The sequence below is a fragment of the Homo sapiens genome, chromosome 9 (genome assembly GCF_000001405.40).
Source record: "Homo sapiens chromosome 9, GRCh38.p14 Primary Assembly".
NCBI classification, from domain to species: Eukaryota; Metazoa; Chordata; class Mammalia; order Primates; family Hominidae; genus Homo; species Homo sapiens.
The window spans coordinates 94,229,716-94,251,094 of record NC_000009.12 but is presented as its reverse complement, the minus strand read 5'-3'; the positions used below and the strand labels follow the sequence as shown (position 1 = coordinate 94,251,094).

The following is a 21,379-nucleotide window of genomic DNA, read 5'->3' as shown; positions in this document are numbered from 1 at the left end:
CCGATTCTGTCGCTGTTCGGGGCGCCACTTGTAGCCTGCACGGACCTAGGAGGACTGAACAAAGCGGGGGTGAACATGAGAATAAAAGACAAGAGACAAAAGAATCTATTTGGAAGAAGGGGTCAGGGGGCACCTTGCCTCTAGTGGACAAGGGCCCTGAGCTTTACACAGCCCTCCGTATTTATTAGGCAAAAGAGACAGCAGGAAAGGTGGGGGTGATTGTTGGGTAATTGTCAGCCAGCTTTGGTTCACAGCAGGCTTGTGAGACTGCATCCTTTGAACAATAGGCACTAATTTTCTCAGTAGATAACTGCAAGGAACCCCGTGCCAGGGAGTGATGTCTCTCAGCAAACCTTTTGGTGGCAGGGCAGTGTGAGTTTGCCCACATCCTGCATTCATGATAAACAGTCTGCTGTTTGATCATATAGCCTCCAGCAAAATGCTGAGTTGGTCACGTCTCACGGGCCTTCGGCTCCCTGCAATGATGATGATGATGATGATGATGATGATAATAATCAAAGAATGGCTTAGCTCCATCCCCTTGGTGATAAGTGAGTTGCTGCTCTGAGTTCATGCAAGATTTGGTTGTGTGGCATCATTCTCCCTCTCTCTTTCTCCTGCTCTTGCCATGTGACATACTTGCTCTCCCTTTGGCTTCACAATGATTGTAAGCTTTCTGAGGCCTCATCAGAAGCCAAGCATATGCTGGTGCCATGCCTGTATACCCTGAGGAAACATGAGCCAATTAAACTTCTTTTCTTTATAAATTACCCAGCCTCAGATATTCCTCTGTGACAACACAAGAACGGCCTGATACTTTGGTATGTTCAGATTTTCTATTTCTTCCTTGGTCAGATTCAGTAATTTGTATCATTCTAAGAATGTGTTCATTTCATCTAAGTTGTCTAATTTGTTGGCAAACAGTTTTATAGTATTTCCTTTTAATCATTTTTATTTCCCTAAGGTAGGTAGTAATGTCCCCTTTGTCATTTCTGATTTTAGTTTCGTCTTTTTTGTTTGTTCAGTCTAGCTACATGTTTGTCAATTTCATTGATCTTTTCAAATAAACTACTTAGACTGCATTTCTTTTCTTTATTTTTACTATCACTATTTTAATGATTTTAACTCTACACTTTATTATTTCCTTCCTTCTCCTTGCTTTTCATTTGCTCTTCTTTTTCCAGTGTCTTACTGTGAAAGGTTAGGTTATTCATTTGGTATGTTTCTTCTTCTTTTTTTTTTTTTTTTTTTTTGAGATGGAGTCTCGCTCTGTGGCCAAGGCTGGAGCGCAGGGGCGCAATCTCGGCTCACTGCAAGCTCTGCCTCCCAGGTTCACGCCATTCTCCTGCCTCAGCCTCCTGAGTAGTTGGGACTACAGGAGCCCGCCACTGCGCCCAGCTAATTTTTGGTATTTTTAGTAGAGATGGGGTTTCTCCGTGTTAGCCAGGATGGTCTCGATGTCCTGACCTCGTGATCCGCCCGCCTTGGCCTCCCAAAGTGCTGGGATTACAGGCATGAGCCACCATGTGGCCGGTATCTTTCTTCATTTTTAAAGTAGGCATTTACAGCTATCAATTTCTATCTAAGGCCGGGTGCAGTGGCTCTCCCATGTAATCCCTGGTCTTTGGGAGGCCGAGGCAGGCGGATCACCTGAGGTCAGGAGTTTGAGACCAGCCTGGCCAACATGGTGAAACCCCATCCCTACTAAAAATACAAAAAATTAGCTGGGCGTGGTGGCAGGCGCCTGTAGTTCCAGCTACTTGGGTGGCTGAGGCAGGAGAATCGCTTGAACCCGGGCGGCGGAGGTTGCAGTGAGCTGAGATGGCACTACTGCACTCCAGCCTGGGCAATAAGAGCGAAACTCCATCTCAAAAAAAAAAAAAAGAATTCTATCTAAGCAGTGCTTTAGCTGCATCCCTTAAGTTTTGGTATGTTGTGGCTTCATTTTCATTTCTTTCACCCATTGGTTAAAAATGTATTTTTAAATTTCTATATATTTGTGAATTTCCAAATTTTCATTGTTATTAATTTATAATTTTACTTAATTGTGGTCAAAGACATACTTTGTCTTGTTTTAATCTTTTTGACTTATTGAGGCTTGTTTGATTACTTTACATGTGGTCTATCCCAAAAAATGTTCCATGTGCTTTTGAGAAGAATGTGTATTTTTCCATCGTTAAAGATGGAGTGTTCTGTTAGAACTACTTGGGAGTTACATCATCTATTGTGATATTCTGCCTATTTGTTCTGGTGTGTTCAGCTGGGGTAGAGCTTCCACCCTAGGAGTGGGTGTTGAGTGGGGTAAGGTCTCAGTCTCACCAGGAATTATAGTCTCTTCAACGTGGAATGAAAGAGGATGATGAATGCTGGAAACCTATCCCTCCTGTGATATGCCATATCCCCTGATTAGGAGCTGAAGGAGAGGGGTCCCTGTCTTCATGGCCACAACTACCCAGAATGGAGCTTCCAAAAAATCTGAGCTGGGGGTAGGGGATGGAGAGAGTGTGCCACGGTTTAAGTGCCACAGACTCTAGCTGCTCTAACCATGACTTTCTTGAATAAATATTTCTTGATTTGCTGTATGCCCTTAGGAGCAACTTCCAGTTAAACCATTAAAAAACCATTAAAAAAAAAGTTATATTAGCCGGGCGCAGTGGCTCACGGCTGTAATCCCAGCACTTTGGGAAGGCTGAGGCAGGTGCATCATCTGAGGTCAGGAGTTCAAGGCTAGCCTGGCCAACATGGCAAAACCCCATCTCTAGTAAAATAAAAAAATTAGCTGGGCGTGGTGGCGCGTGCCTGTAATCCATCTCAAAAAATAAATAAAATAGTTATATCTTGCCAGTTTCCTGAATATTGTTTTACCAGTCCCAGTGATGTGTAGAAACTTCATTTTACCTTTACATCCTTTTACCCTCCCTCATTTATTTATTTATTTATTTATTTATTTATTTTTTGAGAGGAGTTTCGCTTTGTCCCCCAGGCTGGAGTGCAATGGTGTGATCTCGGTTCACTGCAACCTCCACCTCCCAGGTTCAAGTGATTCTTCTGCCTCAGCCTCCCAAGTTGCTGGGATTACAGGCGCCTGTCACCACGGTAGGCTAATATTTGTAGTTTTTAGTAGAGACAGGGTTTCATCATGTTGGCCAGGCTGGTCTCCAACTCCTGACCTCGGGTGATTCACCTGCCTTGGCCTCCCAAAATGCTGTGACTACAGGTGTAAGCCACCGTGCCCGCCCTACCCGCCCTCATTTATAATTGTCTTAAATATTGCCTTTGTATACATTGAGAACCACATTGGACAGTGATATAATTTTTGCTTCAATAAAGTTATTCAGAAAATTTAAGAGTTCACTGCATTTACCTATATTTTTTCTCTTCTTATTGTTCATTCCTTCTTCCTGATGTTCCAAGACTCTTTGTTTTATTTTTCTGTTTAGAGAACTTCTTTTAGCCATTCTTTCAGGGTATATCTGCTGGTGACAAATTTACTTTTAATTCCTTTAAGAATGTCTTGGGGCCAGGTGCGGTGCTCGCGCCTGTAATTCCAGCACTTTGGGAGGCAGAGGTGGGTGGATCACTTGAGGTCAGGAGTTTGAGACCAGCCTGGCCAACATGGTGAAACCCCATCTCTACTAAAAATACAAAAATTAGCTGGGCGTGGTGGTTCACACCTGTAATCCCAGCTACTCAGGAGGCTGAGGCAGGAGAATAGCTTGAACCCAGGATGTGGAGGTTGCGGTGAGCTGAGAGAGTGTCACTGCACCCCAGCCTGGGCATTAGAGTGAGACTCTGTCTTAAAAAAAAAAGAATGTCTTGAACACTCCAAACGGGGATATTCTTCTCTGGATATAGGCTTCTGGGTTAACATGTCTTTTCTTTTCTTTCTTTTTTTTTGAGATGGAGTTTCACTCTTGTTGCCTAGGCTGGAGTGCAATGGCACGATCTCAGCTCACTGCAACCTCTGCCTCCTCGGTTCAAGTGATTCTTCTGCTTCAGGATTGAAAATCCAGGTTCCCCACTCAGCCTTTGTTGACACCAGAGGAAAGGGGCTCTTCATTACTGCTAGGTGGGACAGGAGTTCAGGTTCCCCTCTAGGCCTCTGCTAATATCACCCTGGCTGGTAGGCACCAGGGTGTCTTAATACTGCTCCCCATGTGGTTTCCACTAACACCATAGTGGTGTGGCTTCATTCTTGCTAGGTAATGGTGAAAGTCCTGAATCTTCACTAGGTCTCCTCTGGCACCCATGTGTGGGAATGTGAGTGCCTTGTTAAGCCCAAATAGGGCTGGAAGTCTAGATTCCATAGATAGTCTCCATTGACACTGTGGAAGGAGGAGGGATAAGGATCATAAGGATAAAAGTCTCAGCTCCCCACTCAGCTTACTCTGACTTGATCAATGTGCCTCATTAAAACCTGGCAAGGGTGGTAGAATTCTAGGCTTCCCACGCAGCCATCTGTGGGGTGGGCCTGGGACTGAACTTTTTCTGCAGTGTTTGGGGTGGATAAATTAATATCTAAATTTTATCTCTTGCTAGGTTGCTTCTTTCCTGATCTTTTGACTAGACAATCAGTCTTTCCTAGGTCTTTATTTTTGCCTGTGCTCACTGGCATTATTGTGTTGCAGGCTTCTCTAGCACCCAGTTTGGGATATACAAGGCAAAAAGAAAACCAAGGGAGCTTCCATGTTCTTCCTCAGGTCTCCATGTACTTAATCAGTCAGGTTTCATCCCTCCATCTTTCACGGACTTATGTTTGCTTTTATCTGTACTGAATGGGAGAAATAGGGAAAACTATGTCTATTCCATCTTTTCAGAAGTAGAAATCCCTCTCTAGTTTTAAAGTATAATTCTCTTAAGTATTTCCTCTACATACATTAAACACCATATCATGTGACAAAATTTTTATATCAAATATGATGTAAGAAATTCATGAAGGGAATGAGAGTCCTTCATATTTATTCCTATTTTTACCCATTCCATTGTTCTTTTTCCAAAGTTCCAAGCCTCCTTGTGCTTTTTATATCCTATTTTGACATTTTAAGCCATTTTAAAACGTAGGCCTGCTAACAACAAATACTCTTTGTTTTCATTTGTCTGAGAAATAAAATTCTTTATTTTCTACTCATTCCTGAGGATATTCTTGCTACATGTAGATTTCACCAACAATCCTTTTCACAACTTGAAGAATGTTATGCCATTTCCTTCTAACATGCATGGTTGCAGATGAGAAATCTGCTGTCATTTTAATTGCTTTTCCCCTATAGGTAAGGTGTCCTTTCTCTCACATGCTACTTTCAGGATTTTTTTCTTTGTGTTTAGTTTTTTTGTTTTTTTCAATATGGAAGTCTTCATGAATTTGTGTGTCATCCTTGCACAGGGGCCATGCTAATCTTCTCTGTTGCCCAGGCTGGAGTGCAGTGGTGCAACCTCGGCTCACTGCAACCTCCTCCTCCCAGGTTCAAGCTATACTCCTGCCTCAGCCTCCCTAGTAGCTGGGATTACAGGCACACACCACCACACCCAGCTAATTTTTGTATTTTTAGTAGAGACAGGGTTTCATCATGTTGGCCAGGCTGGTCTCGAACTCCTGATCTCAGGTGATCTGCCTGCCTCGGCCTCCCAAAGTGCTGAGATTACAGGCGTGAGCCACTGTGCCCAGCCTGAAGCAAGCATATCTTTGTGTTTTGTTTTTAGAAGGTTAATTATAATGTGTACTGGCATGGATTTCTTTTGGCGTATCCTATTTATGTTAGCTCAGCTTCTTGAATCTGTAGGTTTATAACTTTAGCCAACTTTGGGAAAATTTCAGCCATTATTTCCTTGAATATTTTTCAGTCTCATACTCTTTCTTTTCTCTTTCTGGGACTCTGATGATATAAATGTTTCATCTGTTGGTATTGCCTCATAGGACCCTGAGGCCCCATTCCTTCTTTCCTAGTCTGTTTCTCTATGTTGTTAAGAGTGTGTAGTCGCTAGGTATCTGTCACTGAGTTCATTTTTTTTTCTTTTTTCTTTTTTTGAGATGGAGTGTCACTCTGTTCCCCAGGCTGGAGTGCAATGGTGCGATCTCAGCTCACTGCAATCTCCACCTCCCGGGTTCAAGTGATTCTCCTGCCCCAGCCTCCCGAGTAGCTGGGATTACAAGCGTGTGCCACCATGCCCGGCTAATTTTTGTGTTTTTAGTAGAGACGGGGTTTCGCCGTGTTGGCCAGGCTGGTCTCAAACTCCTGACCTCAAGCGATCCACCCACCTCAGCCTCCCAAAGTGCTAGGACTACAGGTGTGAGACACCGCGCCCAACCTGAGTTCATTATTTAGTACTCCAGTCATGTTTAATTAACTATTTTGCCCATCAGTGAGTTGCTAATTTCAGTTATTGTTTTTACAGTTCAGTAATTTCCCTTTGGTTCTTTTTAATATTCCCAGTTTTCTGCTGAGATTTTCTATTGTTTCCATTTGTTTCAAAGAATTCACAATTATTTATTGGAGCATTTTTATGATTGCTGCTTTTATGATAGCCTGTGAACTTCAATATCTGATTCATCACTGTTTGTATCTGTTGATAATGATTATTTTTTCTCATGAAAGTTGTAATTGTCCTGGTTCTTGGTATTATGTGTGATTTTTAAAATTATATTTTGGATATTTGGAATATTATAATGTGAGACTTTACATTCTAAAAAATATTATTTTTTAACAGCAGTCCCCTTGCTTAGGTATAGCACACAGGTCTTGGTGGGAGTGAATGTTTAGCTCCCTGATAAGCCTGGCTGACACCAACCTGCAGAAGTAGAGTACTAATTTATACTGCCTCTTTCACATGCTTAGGGTAGAAGTTCAGCTCCACTCTCAGCCCTACTGACACCTTTACAGAAAAAGCTGAGCACTAACTTACATTCATTGTCTCTGAGTAAATGTATAAGTTCAGCTTCTCACTGGAACCCACTGACACTGAGGGAAGGGAAAGTGGAGTCCGACTAGCTTCAATCTATACCATTTCATTCAATCTCACTGCTATCAGATGAGGATGGAGGATCCTTTCTCCACAGACATTCCTATACACTAATAACAGTCAAGCTGAGAGCCAAATCAGGAATGCAATCCTATTCACAATTGCCACAAAAATAATAAAATACCTAGGAATACAGCTAATCAGGGAGCTGAAAGATCTCTACAAAGAGAACTACAAAACACTGCTCAAAGAAATCAGAGATGACACAAACAAATGAAAAATATTCCATGCCCATGGATAAGAAGAATCAATATCATAAAAATGGCCATACTGCCCAAAGCAATTTATAGATTCAATGCTATTCTTATTAAACTACAATATAGATTATTTACAGAACTAGAAAAGACTATTTTAAAACTCATATGGAAGCATAAAAGAACCCAAACAGCCAAGGCAATCCTAAGCAAAATGAACAAAGCTGGAGGCATCACGCTACCCAACTTCAAACTATACTACACAGCTACAGTAAACAAAACAGCATGGTACTGGTACAAAAACAGACATATAGACCAATGGAGCAGAATGGAGAACCCAGAAATAAGGCCACACCTACAATTATCTGGTCTTTGACAAAACTGACAGAAACAAGCAATGGGAGAGAGAACACCCTATTCAATAAATGGTGCTGAGATAACTGGTTAGCCATATGCAGAAAATTGAAACTGGATCCTTTCCTTACACCATATACAAAAATAAACTCAAGATGGATTAAAGGTTTAAATGCAAAACCCCAAACTGTAAAAATCCTGAAAGACAACCTAAGCAATACCATTCAGGACATAGGAATAGGCAAAGATTTTTTTTTCTTTTTTTTTTTTTTTTTTGAGATGGAGTCTCGCTCTGTCACCCAGGCTGGAGTCTGGAGTGAAGTGGCATGATCTCGGCTCACTGCAACCTCCATCTCCCAGGTTCAAGCAGTTCTCCTGCCTCAGCCTCCCGAGTAGCTGGGATTGCAGGTATGAGCCCCCACACCTGGCTCATTTTTGTATTTTTAGTAGAGACTGGGTTTCACCATGTTGGCCAGGCTGGTCTCAAACTCCTAAGCTCAAGTGATCCACCCACCTCGGCCTTCCAAAGTGCTGGGATTACAGGCGTGGGCCACCGTGCCTGGTTGGAACGGGAAAAGATTTCATGATGAAGACACCAAAAGCAATTGCAACAAAAGCAAAAATTGTCAAATGGGATCTAATTAAACCAAAGAATTTCTGCACAGCAATGGAAACTATCAACAGAGTGAACAAATAACCTACAGAATGGGAGAAAATGTTTGCAAACTATGCATCTGACAGAGGTCTAATATCTAGCATCTATAAGGAATTTAAACAAACTTGTAAGAAAAAACCAAATAACCCCATTAAAAAGTGGGCAAAGGACATGAACAGACACTTTTTAAATGACGACACACATGTGGCCAACAATCATGAAAAAAAGCTCAACATCACTGATCATTAGGGAAATGCAAATCAAAACCACCACGAGATACCATCTCACACCAGTCAGAATGGCTATTACTAAAACGTAAAAAAATAACAGATGCTGGTGAGGTTGCGGAGAGAAAGGAACACCTATACACTGTTGGTGGGAGTGTAAATTAGTTCAATCATTGTGGAAAACAGTATGGCAATTCCTCAAAGACCTAAACACAGAAATATTGTTCAACCCAGCAATCCCATTACTGAGTATATACCCAAAGGAATATAAATTGTTCTGTAATAAAGACACATGCATGTGTATGTTCATTGCAGCACTATTCACAATAGCAAAGACATGGAATCAACCCAAATGCCCATTAGTGATAGATTAGATAAAGGAAATGTGGTACATATACACCACGGAATATTATGCAACCATATAAAAGAACTAGATCATGTACTTTGCAGAGACATCAGTTGAGATGGAGGCCATTATCCTTGGCAAACCAACATAAGAATAGAAAACCAAATACCACATGTTCTCACTTAATAGTGGGAGCTAAATGATAAGAACACATGGACATATAGAGGGGAACAACACACACTGGGGCCTATCGGAGGGTGGAGGATGGGAAAAGGGAGATGATCAGGAAAAATAACTAATAGGCATTAGGCTTCATACCTAGATGATGAAATAATCTGTACAACAAACACCCATGACATAGGTTTACCTTTATAGCAAACCTACACATGTACCCCTGAACTTAAAATAAAAGTTTAAAAAAGATAGTGAAAATACAACAAATACAAATTTGTGGGGATTTAGCTAATGTAGTGCTTAGAGAAAAATGTTTTTTTAAGTAGTTAATGGGATTTATTTAAGAATCTGTTTATAATAATAACTCAACTTCTGTGGATATAAAATAGATTTCTTCAATTTTACTAATTTATTATATTATTTTTTATTTTTTTAATTATGTATGTATTTATTTATTTATTTTTGAGATAGGGTTTCACTATGTTGCCTAGGCTGGATTTAAACTTCTTTTTATTTATTTATTATACTTTAAGTTTTAGGGTATATGTGCACAACGTGCAGGTTAGTTAAATATATATACATGTGCCATGTTGGTGTGCTGCACCCATTAACTCATCATTTAACATTAGGTATATCTCCTAATGCTATCCCTCCCTGCTCCCCCACCCCACAACAGGCCCCGGTGTGTGATGTTCCCCTTCCTGTGTCCATGTGTTCTCATTGTTCAATTCCCACCTATGAGTGAGAATATGCAGTGGTTTTTTGTCCTTGCGATAGTTTGCTGAGAATGATGGTTTCCAGCTTCATCCATGTCCCTACAAAGGACATGAGCTGATCCTTTTTTATGGCTGCATAGTATTCCATGGTGTATATATGCCACATTTTCTTAATCCAGTCTATCATTGTTGGACATTTGGGTTGGTTCCAAGTCTTTGCTATTGTGAATAGTGCCGTAATAAACATACGTGTGCATGTGTCCTTATAGCAGCATGATTTATAATGCTTTGGGTATATACCCAGTAATGGAATTGCTGGGTCAAATGGTATTTCTAGTTCTAGATCCTTGAGGAATCGCCACACTGACTTCCACAATGGTTGAACTAGTTTACAGTCCCACCAACAGTGTAAAAGTGTTCCTATTTCTCCACATCCTCTCCAGCACCTGTTGTTTCCTGACTTTTTAATGATCACACTCTAACTGGTGTGAGATGGTATCTCATTGTGGTTTTGATTTGCATTTCTCTGATGACCAGTGACGATGAGCATTTTTTCATGTGTCTGTTGGCTGCATAAATGTGTTCTTTTGAGAAGTGTCTGTTCATATCCTTTGCCCACTTTTTAATGGGGTTGTTTGTTTTTTTCTTGTAAATTTGTTTGAGTTCATTGTAGATTCTGGATATTAGCCCTTTGTCAGATGGGTAGATTGCAAAAATTTTCTCCCATTCTGTAGGTTGCCTGTTCAATCTGATGGTAGTTTCTTTTGCTGTGCAGAAGCTGTTTAGTTTAATTAGATCCCATTTGAGAAAATTTTACAATTTATTTTTTATTTTTATTTTTTTGAGATAGAGTCTTGCTCTGTCGCCCAGGCTGGAATGCAGTGGCACAATCTCAGCTCACTGCAACCTCCACCTCCTGGGTCCAAGCAATTCTCCTGTTTCAGCCTCCTGAGTTGCTGGGATTACAGGCACTTGCCACCACGCCTGGCTAATTTTTGTATTTTTGGTTAAGATGGGGTTTCACCATGTTGGCCAGGCTGGTCTTGAACTCTTGACCTCAGGTGATCCACCCGCCTCGGCCTCCCAAAGTGCTAGGATTACAGGTGTGAGCCACCGTGCCTGGCCACAGAAATTTTACAGTTTTAAATGCTTACATTTAAAAAGTAAATAGGTTTGAAATCAGTGATCTAAAATTCCACATTAAGATGAAAAAATTAAAATGTAAACAGAAGGAAAGAATAGTGAGTAGAAATCAATGACATATAAAACAGTCAACTTAAAAAATTAAAATGCCAAAAGTTGATTCTTTGAAAATATTGACAAATTGGACATTGTTCAGGTTTTATTCAGGAAAGCAGAGCCTTAATGAGTGTTACTGGATGAGAGAGTAAGATTAGGAGCTATACCTTATATAATAGTGGGAAGAGCTAGAGAAGTGAAGGTTCAGAAGTCCTCCTGAAGCATTGGTGCTAGATGACAAATTGGAGCCTAAAGAGATAATTGGCAATCCAATACTACTTTACTCTTGCAAGAATGGCCATAATCAAAAAATCAAAAAATAGTAGATGTTGGCGTGGATGTGGTGAACAGGGAACACTTCTACACTGCTGGTGGAAATGGGAACTAGTACAGCCACTGTGGAAAACAGTGTGGAGATTCCTTAAAGAACTAAAAGTAGAACCACCATTTGATCCAGCAATCCCACTACTGGGTATCTACCCCAGAGGAAAAGAAGTCATTATTCGAAAAAGATACTTGCACACACATGTTTATAGCAGCACAATTCGCAATTGCAAAAATGTGGAACCAACCCAAATGCCCATCAGTCAACAAGCAGTTAAAGAAACCGTGGTATATTTATATACAATGGAATAGTAGTCAGCCATAAAAAGGAATGAGTTAATGGCATTTGCAGCAACCTGGATGAGATTGGAGAGTATTATTCTAAGTGAAGTAACTCAGGTATGGAAAACCAAACGTCCTATGTTCTCACTCATAATTGGGAGCTAAGCTATGAGGATGCAAAGGTATAAGAGTGACACAATGGGCTTTGGGTGCTCAGGGGGAAAGGATGGGAAGGGGGTGAAGGAGAAAAGACTGCAAATAAGGTGCAGTGTATACTGCTCGGGTAATGGGTGCACCAAAATCTCACAAATAGCCATTAAAGAACTTACTCATATAGGCCGGGCACAGTAGCTCACGCCTGTAATCCCAGCACTTTGGGAGGCCAAGGCGGGTGGATCACGTGGTCAGGAGATTGAGACCATTCTGGCTAACACGGTGAAACCCTGTCTCTACTAAAAATACAAAAAATTAGCTGGCCGTGGTGGCAGGTGCCTGTAGTCCCAGCTACTTGGGAGGCTGAGGCAGGAGAATGGCGTGAACCCGAGAAGCGGGGCTTGCAGTGAGCTGAGATCGCACTACAGCACTCCAGCCTGGGTGACACAGCAAGACTCCATCTCAAAAAAAAAAAAAAAAAAAAGAGAGAGAGAGAGAGAGATAAAGATAGATAATTGGAGAAGCCTAGCACATTTAGTTACCAAAATGGGAATGGAAACAAGGTCATATGGTGGCTGTTGGCTCTGTTTAGATAACACTTCTGAAAGTTTGCAGCCAAGCATCTCCTGATTGGGCTGGGTTCAGCAGCTGGGAAGGAGAGCTGGATGTAAAACAGAGGAGCACCAGGATGAGCTGGAAACCACCAGGCAACTCTGCATCTGTCCATCAACTATCTCACACTGAACAGCTTCAGAGAGAGACTGCTTCTGCTTCTAAAATCTCATGCAGATTCACTAACCAAAACCATAAGGAGAAGTGAATTCTGGGTAATGTCGTTCACAGATTGACCAAGTTGCCAGCACAAGTATCCAGTACACCAAATAAGACAGAGAGACAGAGAGATGAGAGAACACAAATTCCTCATATCTGAAACAAAACTGGGAAGATTAGCAGTTTAGAATTAAAAGGATAATAAGTTATGCACAAGCTTATGCCAATAAATGTAATAACTTGGATAAAATAAATTTCTTAAAAGATATAAACTATTGTTAAACCTCACTTTAGAAGAAACAGGAAAACTTAACAGCTATAATGTGTTAATATAATTGAATTAGTCATAATTCCCTCAAAGAAAACTGCAGGCCCAGATTGCTCCTCTGGCCAACTTTGTAAAATATTTTAAGGAAGAAATAATACCAATCTTAAGTGCTTTCAAAAACACAGGAATGAGGAGCACTTCCCAATTTGTTTTGTGAAAACAGCATAATCTTAATATCAAAATCTGACAAGGACATTACACAAAAAAATTAATGCCAACATCCATCATGAATATAAATGTATCTTTAGCAAAATACTAGTTAATTGATTCCACCAGTGTAACCTTTTTGTCTGTGGCTCTAGTGCTATGAAGAACTCAAAATGGCCAGATAGTCTCAATTTCCAGTTCAGTATAATCACTGTGGTGTGCCCCAGAGAAATTATTCCCCCTTTGAGTACTAAAATCTCTAAGCCAGTGGAGCCCAAAGTCACGAGAACAAGAAGTAAAAATTTTTCTAATGGGTCATTTTGGTAGTAGAAATATAACTTCCACTTTGCTTTTTGGTACCTAGTGCAAATGGTGTAACTATGGGACAAACAGAACTATTTATTGTAAACAGTTCAACTATTTAAATAGTTATTATAGTTATTTATTGGTTTGTTGCTGCTTTAATTTGCGTTTTCTTAATAATGATGTTAAACATCTTTTCACATGCTTAATAGCCATTTGAATATATTCTCTCGTATTTAATTTTTTTCTATTTTTTTCTTTTATACTTTGTTGTAAAGTTTTAAAATATATATTCTGGGCCTGGCACGGTGGCTCATGCCTCTAATCCTAGCACTTTGGGAGGCTGAGGTGGGTGGATCACCTGAGGTCAGGAGTTTGAGATCAGCCTGGCCAACATGGTGAAACCCTGTCTCTACTAAAAATACAAAATTAGCCGGGAGTGGTGGCACATGCCTGTAATCTCAGCTACTTGGGAGGCTGAGGCAGGAGAGTCACTTGAATCTGGGAGTTGGAGGTTGTGGTAAGCCGAGATTGTGCCATTGCACTCCAGCCTGGGCAACAAGAGCAAAACGCTGTCTCAAAAAATAAAAAAATTAAATAAAAAATTAAAAAAATATATATATATGTTCTGAATACAAGTCCTTTATCAGATATTTGATTTGTAAAAGTTTTCTTAGTACGTGAATTATTTTATTTTCTTAATGATATCTCTTGAAATACAAATGTTTTTAATTTTGATCAAGTTCAACTTATCACATTTTTTTCTTTATTGGTTGTGCTTTTGGTATCATATCTAAGAAATATTTGCCCTAGCCAATATCATGAAGATTTTCTCCTATTTTTTTCTAAAAGTTTTATATTTTCAGTTCTACTTTTTAAAAAAAAATATTGCTATTTTGGTTCCATGTCGACTAATGTAGGCATTATCAAAAATATGCATTTTTATTTTATTTATTTTGTGAGACAGTTTCACTCTGCCACCTAGGCTGGAGTGCAGTGGCACCATCTCTGCCAACTGCAACCTACGCCTCCCGGGTTCAAGCAATTCTTGTGCCTCAGCCTCCTGAGTAGCTGGGATTACAGGCATGTGCCACCATGCCTGGCTAATTTTTTTTTTTTGTATTATTAGTAGAAACAGGGTTTCACCATGTTGGCCAGGCTGGTCCCGAACTCCTGACCTCAAGTAATCCTCCTGCCTTGGCCTCCCAAAGTGCTAGGATTACAGGCATAAGCCACCATGCCCAGGCTTCAGTTATACTTTTCTATAATCTATTTGGAGTTGATTTTTTTGTGTTTGGTATGGAGTAAGGTCTAAAAATTGTTTGTTTTGCATATGTATATCCGATTGTCATAGCACCACTTGTTGAAAAGACTATCCTTTTCCCTACTGGATTGCCTTAGCACTTTTGTCAAAAATCAATTGATCATGTATATGTGGGTTAATTTCTGGACTCTCCATTCTGTTCTATTGATTCATATGGCTATCTATACACCAGTACCACACTGTCTTCATTACCATAGCATTCTGTTCAATTTTAAAATCAAGAAACAGAAGTCCTCCCACATCGTTCTTCTTTTTCAAAATTGTTTTGGCTATTCTGCATCCTTCCATTTCCATATAAGTTTCAGGATCAGCTTGCCATTTCTGCAAAGAAGTCTGCTAGAATATTGACATGGATTACATGGCATTTATAGATCAATTTGGAGAGAGTTGTCATTGTAACAATATTGAATCTTCCAATCAATGAACATGGTATATCTTCTCCATTTATTTAGGTCTTCTTTAATCCCCCCACCCTGCCCCAGCAATGTCTTACAGTTTTTAGTCCACAAGTCTTAAAACCTCTTTTCTTAAATTTATTCCTAAGTATTTCTTTTTGATCTGTTATTATTTGAATTTTTGTATTGCTAATTGCAGTATATAGAAATACAACCAATTTTTTTGTATTGAGCTTGTATTCTGTGACCTTCCTGAATTCATTTATTAGTGCTAATAGTTTGCTATGAATTCTTTAGGATTTTCTACATATAGGATCATGTTGCCTGTGAATAAAGACAGTTTCACCTCTTTCTTTCCATCTGAACACATTTTATCTCTTTTTCTTGCCTGGTAGCATGGACACATACTGGCTTAAAACATATGCTATAGCCTATAGGAAAACATTCTGGCCAGGGCAGTGGCTCATGGCTGTAATTCCAGCACTTTGGGAGGCCGAGGAGGGAGGATCTCTTGAGGTCAGAAGTTCGAGACCAGCCTGGCCAACATAGTGAAACCCTGTCTACTAAAAATACAAAAATTAGCCATTTCTTTTCTTCCCTCAAAGAAAACTGCAGGCCCAGATTGCTCCTCTGGTGAACTTTGTAAAATATTTTAAGGAAAAAATAATTCCAATCTTACACAAGTGAGTGGCGGGCGCCTGTAGTCCCAGCTACTTGGGAGGCTGAAGTGCAAAAATCACTTGAACCCGGGAGGCGGAGGTTGCAGTGAGCTGAGATCATGCCACTGCACTCCAGCCTGGGCGACAGAGTGAGACTCCGTATTTAAAAAAAAGAAAACATTCCAGCTTCTCAAGGTGATATCTCCCAGCTGGTGCCATGCTCAACTTTCAAAAAAGCACTACACTAACGCTATTATAAAAACCTAGCAGTCTGTGTCACACTTATTCAGAGGTAATTATATGTCTGGAATTTCTCCAAGTCCCCACCCGACCCAGAAGCCCAGCTGGCTTCACCTCCCAATTATATGTATAATGCCATAACAATGACTAAGGCAAACAAATTTCCATAAAAGATGTTGCTAGCCCAACATTGTAAAAAGGAGGAAATTAAGATCTAGAATAAACTGTTTACAGTGTCAATGAATTATTGGTCTTTGCTGCTGGAAGGCTGAGGACTCAGTGTTGCAGCAGCCAGGTGAACCTGGGTGAGAGTAAGTCCACTTGTTAATCCATTTGTAACATCTGTTTCTATTACCATGTCTATTTTGTTCAAACACTAGCTGAGAAAGCATAGCCACCACCAAGAAAGAAGTTGGCTGATATTCAGTGTATTTTATTAACAATGTTATTATTGTGACTCTCCTCTGCAGGAGAGGATTATTTAATTACTTTTCACATGGGGGTGGGGGAACATCTTCACACTCTGGCCTAAATTCTGAGAGGCCTTTTTGTCTAATTCTTCTGTCACTATTCTATCATTTTAATTTCAAATCCCTAGAATTATGCAAATCACTTACAAAAAGGTACATTCACAGAAGTCTCACCTCCATTCATGTCCTGTATACCCTGTTCCTTCATAGACTTTTTGTGTGTGTGTGATGGAGTTTTGCTCTTCTTGCCCAGGCTGGAGTACACTGGTGCGATCTCAGCTCATTGCAAGCTCCGCCTCCTGGGTTCAAGTGATTCTCCTGCCTCAGCCTCCCGAGTAGCTGGGATTACTGGCGCCTGCCACCACGACTGGCTGATTTTTTGTATTTTTAGTAGAGATGAGGTTTCTCCACTTTGGTCAGGCTGGTCTTGAATTCCTGACCTCAGGTGATCCACCCATCTTGGCCTCCCAAAGTGCTGGGATTACAGGTGTGAGCCACCATGCCCGGCCTTCATAGACATTTTTTGTACTCATCTGGAAATTAGAAATGGAGAAAACTTCTCCCATGTCTATTGCTTAAATCTATTTGGTGCTTCAGTTTATTACCACACTCAGAGCTACTCCTATTAGGGATAAATATTTGTGGCAATTTCTGTGTTCTGAAGCCCTTAGGACTACCAGAATTCTCATTTCTCTTCCTTTCACACTTCCTGCAAGAATGCTGATAGTTTGGCCCACCCTGTTTTCTTCTGGGATTATTAGTTACCTTGTTCCTCAGTTCAGTTAAGATGTCCATGTTTCTTTTACTATTCTGTTGCTTCATCTATTTTGATTAGAGAATGTAGGGAGATGAAAAAACTGCAAAACTGTCATCTTGCTCCAAACAGAATTCTTTGCCTCAGTTTTCTAAAGATGCCTTTGCTGGGTGTAGATTTCTAGTTCAGCAGTTATTTATTTTTTCAACACTTTGAAGATCTTTTATTGTCTTAATTGGTGGTCTTTGAAGGCAAAATGTGTCTTTTAAGCTTTGGCCGCTTTTAAGATTTTTCTCCTTGTTTTTGTTTTCTTCTGTTTTGTTATGATGTGTCAAAGTGTGGATTTCTTTTTGTAGATCCTAATAGGGGTCATTGGGACTTTTACTATGGAATTTGATGTCTTTCACCATTTGGGGAAAATTCTTTTTTTTTTTTTTTCAATCATGTTAGATGGGTAATGTGCTGATGTCATAACAAGGATTGATGGTGACACATCTTACATGTGTGTGTGAAAACCCAATCATCATGTTTATGAGATACAAAAGGATCAGGGAAAATCCTTAACCACTTTTCAAATGATTTTTCTGTCCAATTTTCTCCCTCTCTTCTAAAACTCTGATATTATTATTTTTTGAGATGGAGTCTCGCTCTGTTGCCCAGGCTGGAGTGCAGTGGTGTGATCTTGGTTCACTGCAACTTCTGCCTCCCGGGTTCAGGCAATTCTCCTGCCTCAGCCTCCTAAGTAGCTGGGATTACAGGCACACATCACCACACCCAGCTAATTTTTGTATTTTTAGTAGAGACGGGGTTTCACCTTGATCAGGCTGGTCTCGAATCCCTGACCTCGTGATCCACCTGCCTCGGCCTCCCAAAGTGCTGGGATTACATGCGTGAGCCACTGCGCCTGGCCTAAAACTCTGACATTCTTAAACCCTCACACTGCATCCTCCATGTTTTTTTCCATCTCTTCTGTTGTGTTTTTCTTTTTGTTTCAGTGTTATTTATTCTAAATATTCATTCTGATCTTTCAGTTTATTATTTTATCAGCTGTTTCTAATATTCTATTAAAAACATCCATTTGGTTTAAATTTAAGTTCCTATATTTTTCAGTTGTACAACGTCTACACAGTTCTTTGTCATATCTGCTTTATTTTTAGAATTTCTAGTTATCTCACAAAATTTTCCTTCTTGACTTTTAACTCCTTGAACAGAGTAACCATTTATTTTGGAGTCAAAATCTGTTAATTCCAGTATCACAGCCCCCGTGAGTTTGTTTCTATTGTTAATTTTTTTGTTTGAGTTTTGGTTATGCTGTTCTATACGATTGTATGCCTGCATACATAGTGTTTGCTAGACCACTGTATTGAGAAAGTGTTTGTAGAAAAAGTGTGGAGCTTAGAGCCTAGGATGATGTCATCTTTCTTCAGAGAGGATTTTTACTTGCTTCTGTCAGATTATTGGGTTACAGGGGATCCAGAATCACCTTAGTATCGTTTCACAAATTGGAATTTTTCTGAGCTACCCATATGACACAAAACTGAGCTATAATCCATGTGAGAACTAGTTTACTTCTGGCTCATTCTTACCTCTAGGGTACAGGTTTTAGAGGCCAACCCAGAGTGTGGACTGGTACCCTCTTGCTCCAAAGTGCTATGAAAAGCACTTCTCAGCCTCTCAGCCACCTCTCAGTATACACAAATATCTCCATACAAAAAATCCCCAAAAGCTTGTCTCACCTCTCTGGATTTCTACAATACCTTTTTTTCATCTTGACCAGATTTTTCACTACCTTTTTAGCTCTTAAATGCCTTCAAGTTTTTAGAAACAATTTTGTTCCACTGTTTTAATTGTCATTAGTCATAGGGTTGTATTGAATTACCAAGTTTTCAGAAGAGAAATTTAAATGTATTTATCATGTTTTTGTTTAAGGAAAGAGAAGCATCAATAACCCAAATAAAAATTAAAGAATATAGTAATTGGATGCTTTCAGGGCCCACATTCCTGCAACCCCCACCCCCCACCTCACTTTGTTTCTTCAGAGTAGTCCCTGCTTCTGCACTCAGCAGTTTGGATACAAGTTGTTAGCAACTCTTCTGTCATCTCTCCCCAGTTCTATGTAATTCATTACTAGATTGAGGTCCTCAATTTTTTTCTGAAAAGTAAACAATCCCAGCATATGCACAAGTGCATGACTGGTATTAGCAATATGTGAGTGGTTAAACTTGATGGGAAATTGACCACATACAACCTCTTGTGCTCTAATGCTGTCTCTTTTATGTATTTTTTGATATAAAATAGCAATTAAAAATTTGTATAGAGTGACATCAAGGAATATGGCATAACAGGAAGCATCAGGAATCTGTCTTTACACCCAGACAGCAATTACGCTAGTAGAAACTATCAGTTAACTAACTACCGATGTAACTATTTTGTAACTCTGGAGGTCATTTGAACACTTGCAACTTCCAGGGAAGGGCTTAGCTGCTAAATTCTGATTAATTTCAGTCAATTTCAGTCATAGCTACCTATCTCTTCAACATCAGTACCATGGTAAGCAGCCATGGCCACATTCCTGGTGAGAGTTTCAGAAGCCAGGGTGGTCAATACAGATCTCATCCTCTAATAATTCTGTATTCTGAACTGCTGACTGCTGCTTCTGATGATGGAAAAGTGCAGACACAGAAAAGTGAAGCCATTGTTTCAACCCCACCAACAGAAGCAGCATCCAGGGACAGTATCTAGAATGGTGTGAGAAGGGTCTTTTCTTCTTTTTTTTCCTCCCTTTTTCTAGTGTTGGGAGCCAGACGTGTAAAACTTAGAACATTGAAAAGCAACCATATATACGAGAATATTTACAATGTCACCATACCGCCCAGGGAAAGACAAAGTATAGAAAAGCCTTTAAGCTTTTGCCTCAGGATGATCTCTAGCACAGAGATACCCGACAGCAATAAAAAATAGAAAGCAACCCTGGGGAAGGGGGAGAATCTGATTTCCAGAATTACCACATTATATGATAAACAAATATCCAGTTTTCAACATCAACAACAAATCCCAAAGCATACAAAGAAACAAGAAAACATGGCTCATTCAAAGGAACAAATTAAATCTTCAGAAACTATTCCAAAAAAATCGCAGGCATTGGACTTCTAGACAAACACTTTAAAACAAGGGTTTTTTTTGTTGTTGTTGTTTTGTTTGTTTGTTTTGAGACAGAGTCTTGCTCTGTCACCCAGGCTGGAGTGGAGTGGCATGATTTCGGCTCACTGCAACCTCCACCTCCTGAGTTCAAGCGATTCTGCTGCCTCAGCCTCCCAAGCAGCTGGGACTACAGGCATGCGCCACCATGCCCAACTAACTTTTGTATTGTTAGTAGAGATGGGGTTTCACCATACTGGCCAGGCTGGCCTTGAACTCCTGACCTCATGATCCACCTGCCTCAGCCTCCCAAAGTGCCTAACGCCTGGCCAAAACAACTGTCTTAAAGATACTCGAAGATCTACAGAAAGAAATGAGCAAAACAGGAAAATGTTGTATGAACAAAATGAGAATATCAATAAAAAGATATAAAATATAAAAAAGGAACCAAAAATAAATTCTGGAACTAAAATGTACGATAACTGAAATGAAGATTTTACTAGATGGTTACAAAAAGAGATCTGAACAGGCAGAAGAAAGAATCAGTAAAATTGAAGATAGGACAATTGAAGTTATAAAGTGGGAGGAATGGAAAAAAAGAAATGAAGAAAAGTGAACAGAGCATAAGGGACTTTTGAGATACTACCAAGCAGACCAACATATGCATTATGGGAGTTCCAAAGGGAAAAAAAAGCAAGAAAAGGGCAAAAAGAATTTGAAGAAATAAATAATGGCTGAAAACTCCCCAAATTTGACAAAAGATATGAATCTCCAAATTCAAGAGGCTCAACGAATTCCAAGAAGGATAAATTCAAAGAGATCCACACGAAGACCTCTTATAATTAAAATGTTGAAGACAAAGACAGAGAAAGAATCCTGGAAGTATTAGTAACTCATCACACAAAAGAGATCCTCAGCAAGATTACCAGCTAATTTCTCATGAGAAACTTTGGAGGCTAGGAGGCAGTGGGTTAACATATCCAAAGTGCTGAAAGAAATAATAGTCTACCAAGAATTCTATATCCAGAAAAACTGCCCTTAAAGAATGAGGGAGAAATTAATACATTCCCAGATAAACAAGAGCTGAGGGAGTTCATTACCATAAGACTTTCCAAGGCCAGGCACAGTGGCTCACACCTGTAATACCAGCACTTTGGGAGGCCAAGGCAGGC

The 21,379-nt window shown here is 39.9% G+C and overlaps 1 long non-coding RNA gene, 1 other non-coding gene and 1 pseudogene across 2 annotated transcripts in view, besides 1 other annotated feature; 1 reads left to right on the top strand and 2 right to left on the bottom strand.

The window, feature by feature from the left end:
- Window positions 1-21,379, top strand: part of LINC02603 (long intergenic non-protein coding RNA 2603) — an 82,743-nt gene that overhangs the window by 8,217 nt on the left and 53,147 nt on the right. The gene's annotated exons all lie outside the window — the stretch shown is intronic.
- Window positions 22-532: an enhancer, noted in NCBI's record as "NANOG hESC enhancer chr9:97012845-97013355 (GRCh37/hg19 assembly coordinates)". NCBI's record gives its function as "activates a minimal SCP1, AML or CMV promoter by ChIP-STARR-seq in primed H9 embryonic stem cells {active_cell/tissue: H9 hESC(primed)}" and the evidence as "EXISTENCE:reporter gene assay evidence [ECO:0000049][PMID:30033119]".
- LOC124902332 (uncharacterized) lies at window positions 5,336-5,405 on the bottom strand (annotated as a pseudogene).
- Window positions 17,514-17,617, bottom strand: LOC124902342 (small nucleolar RNA U13). Its single transcript, XR_007061918.1, has one exon. It is a non-coding gene; the product is annotated as a small nucleolar RNA U13 (small nucleolar RNA).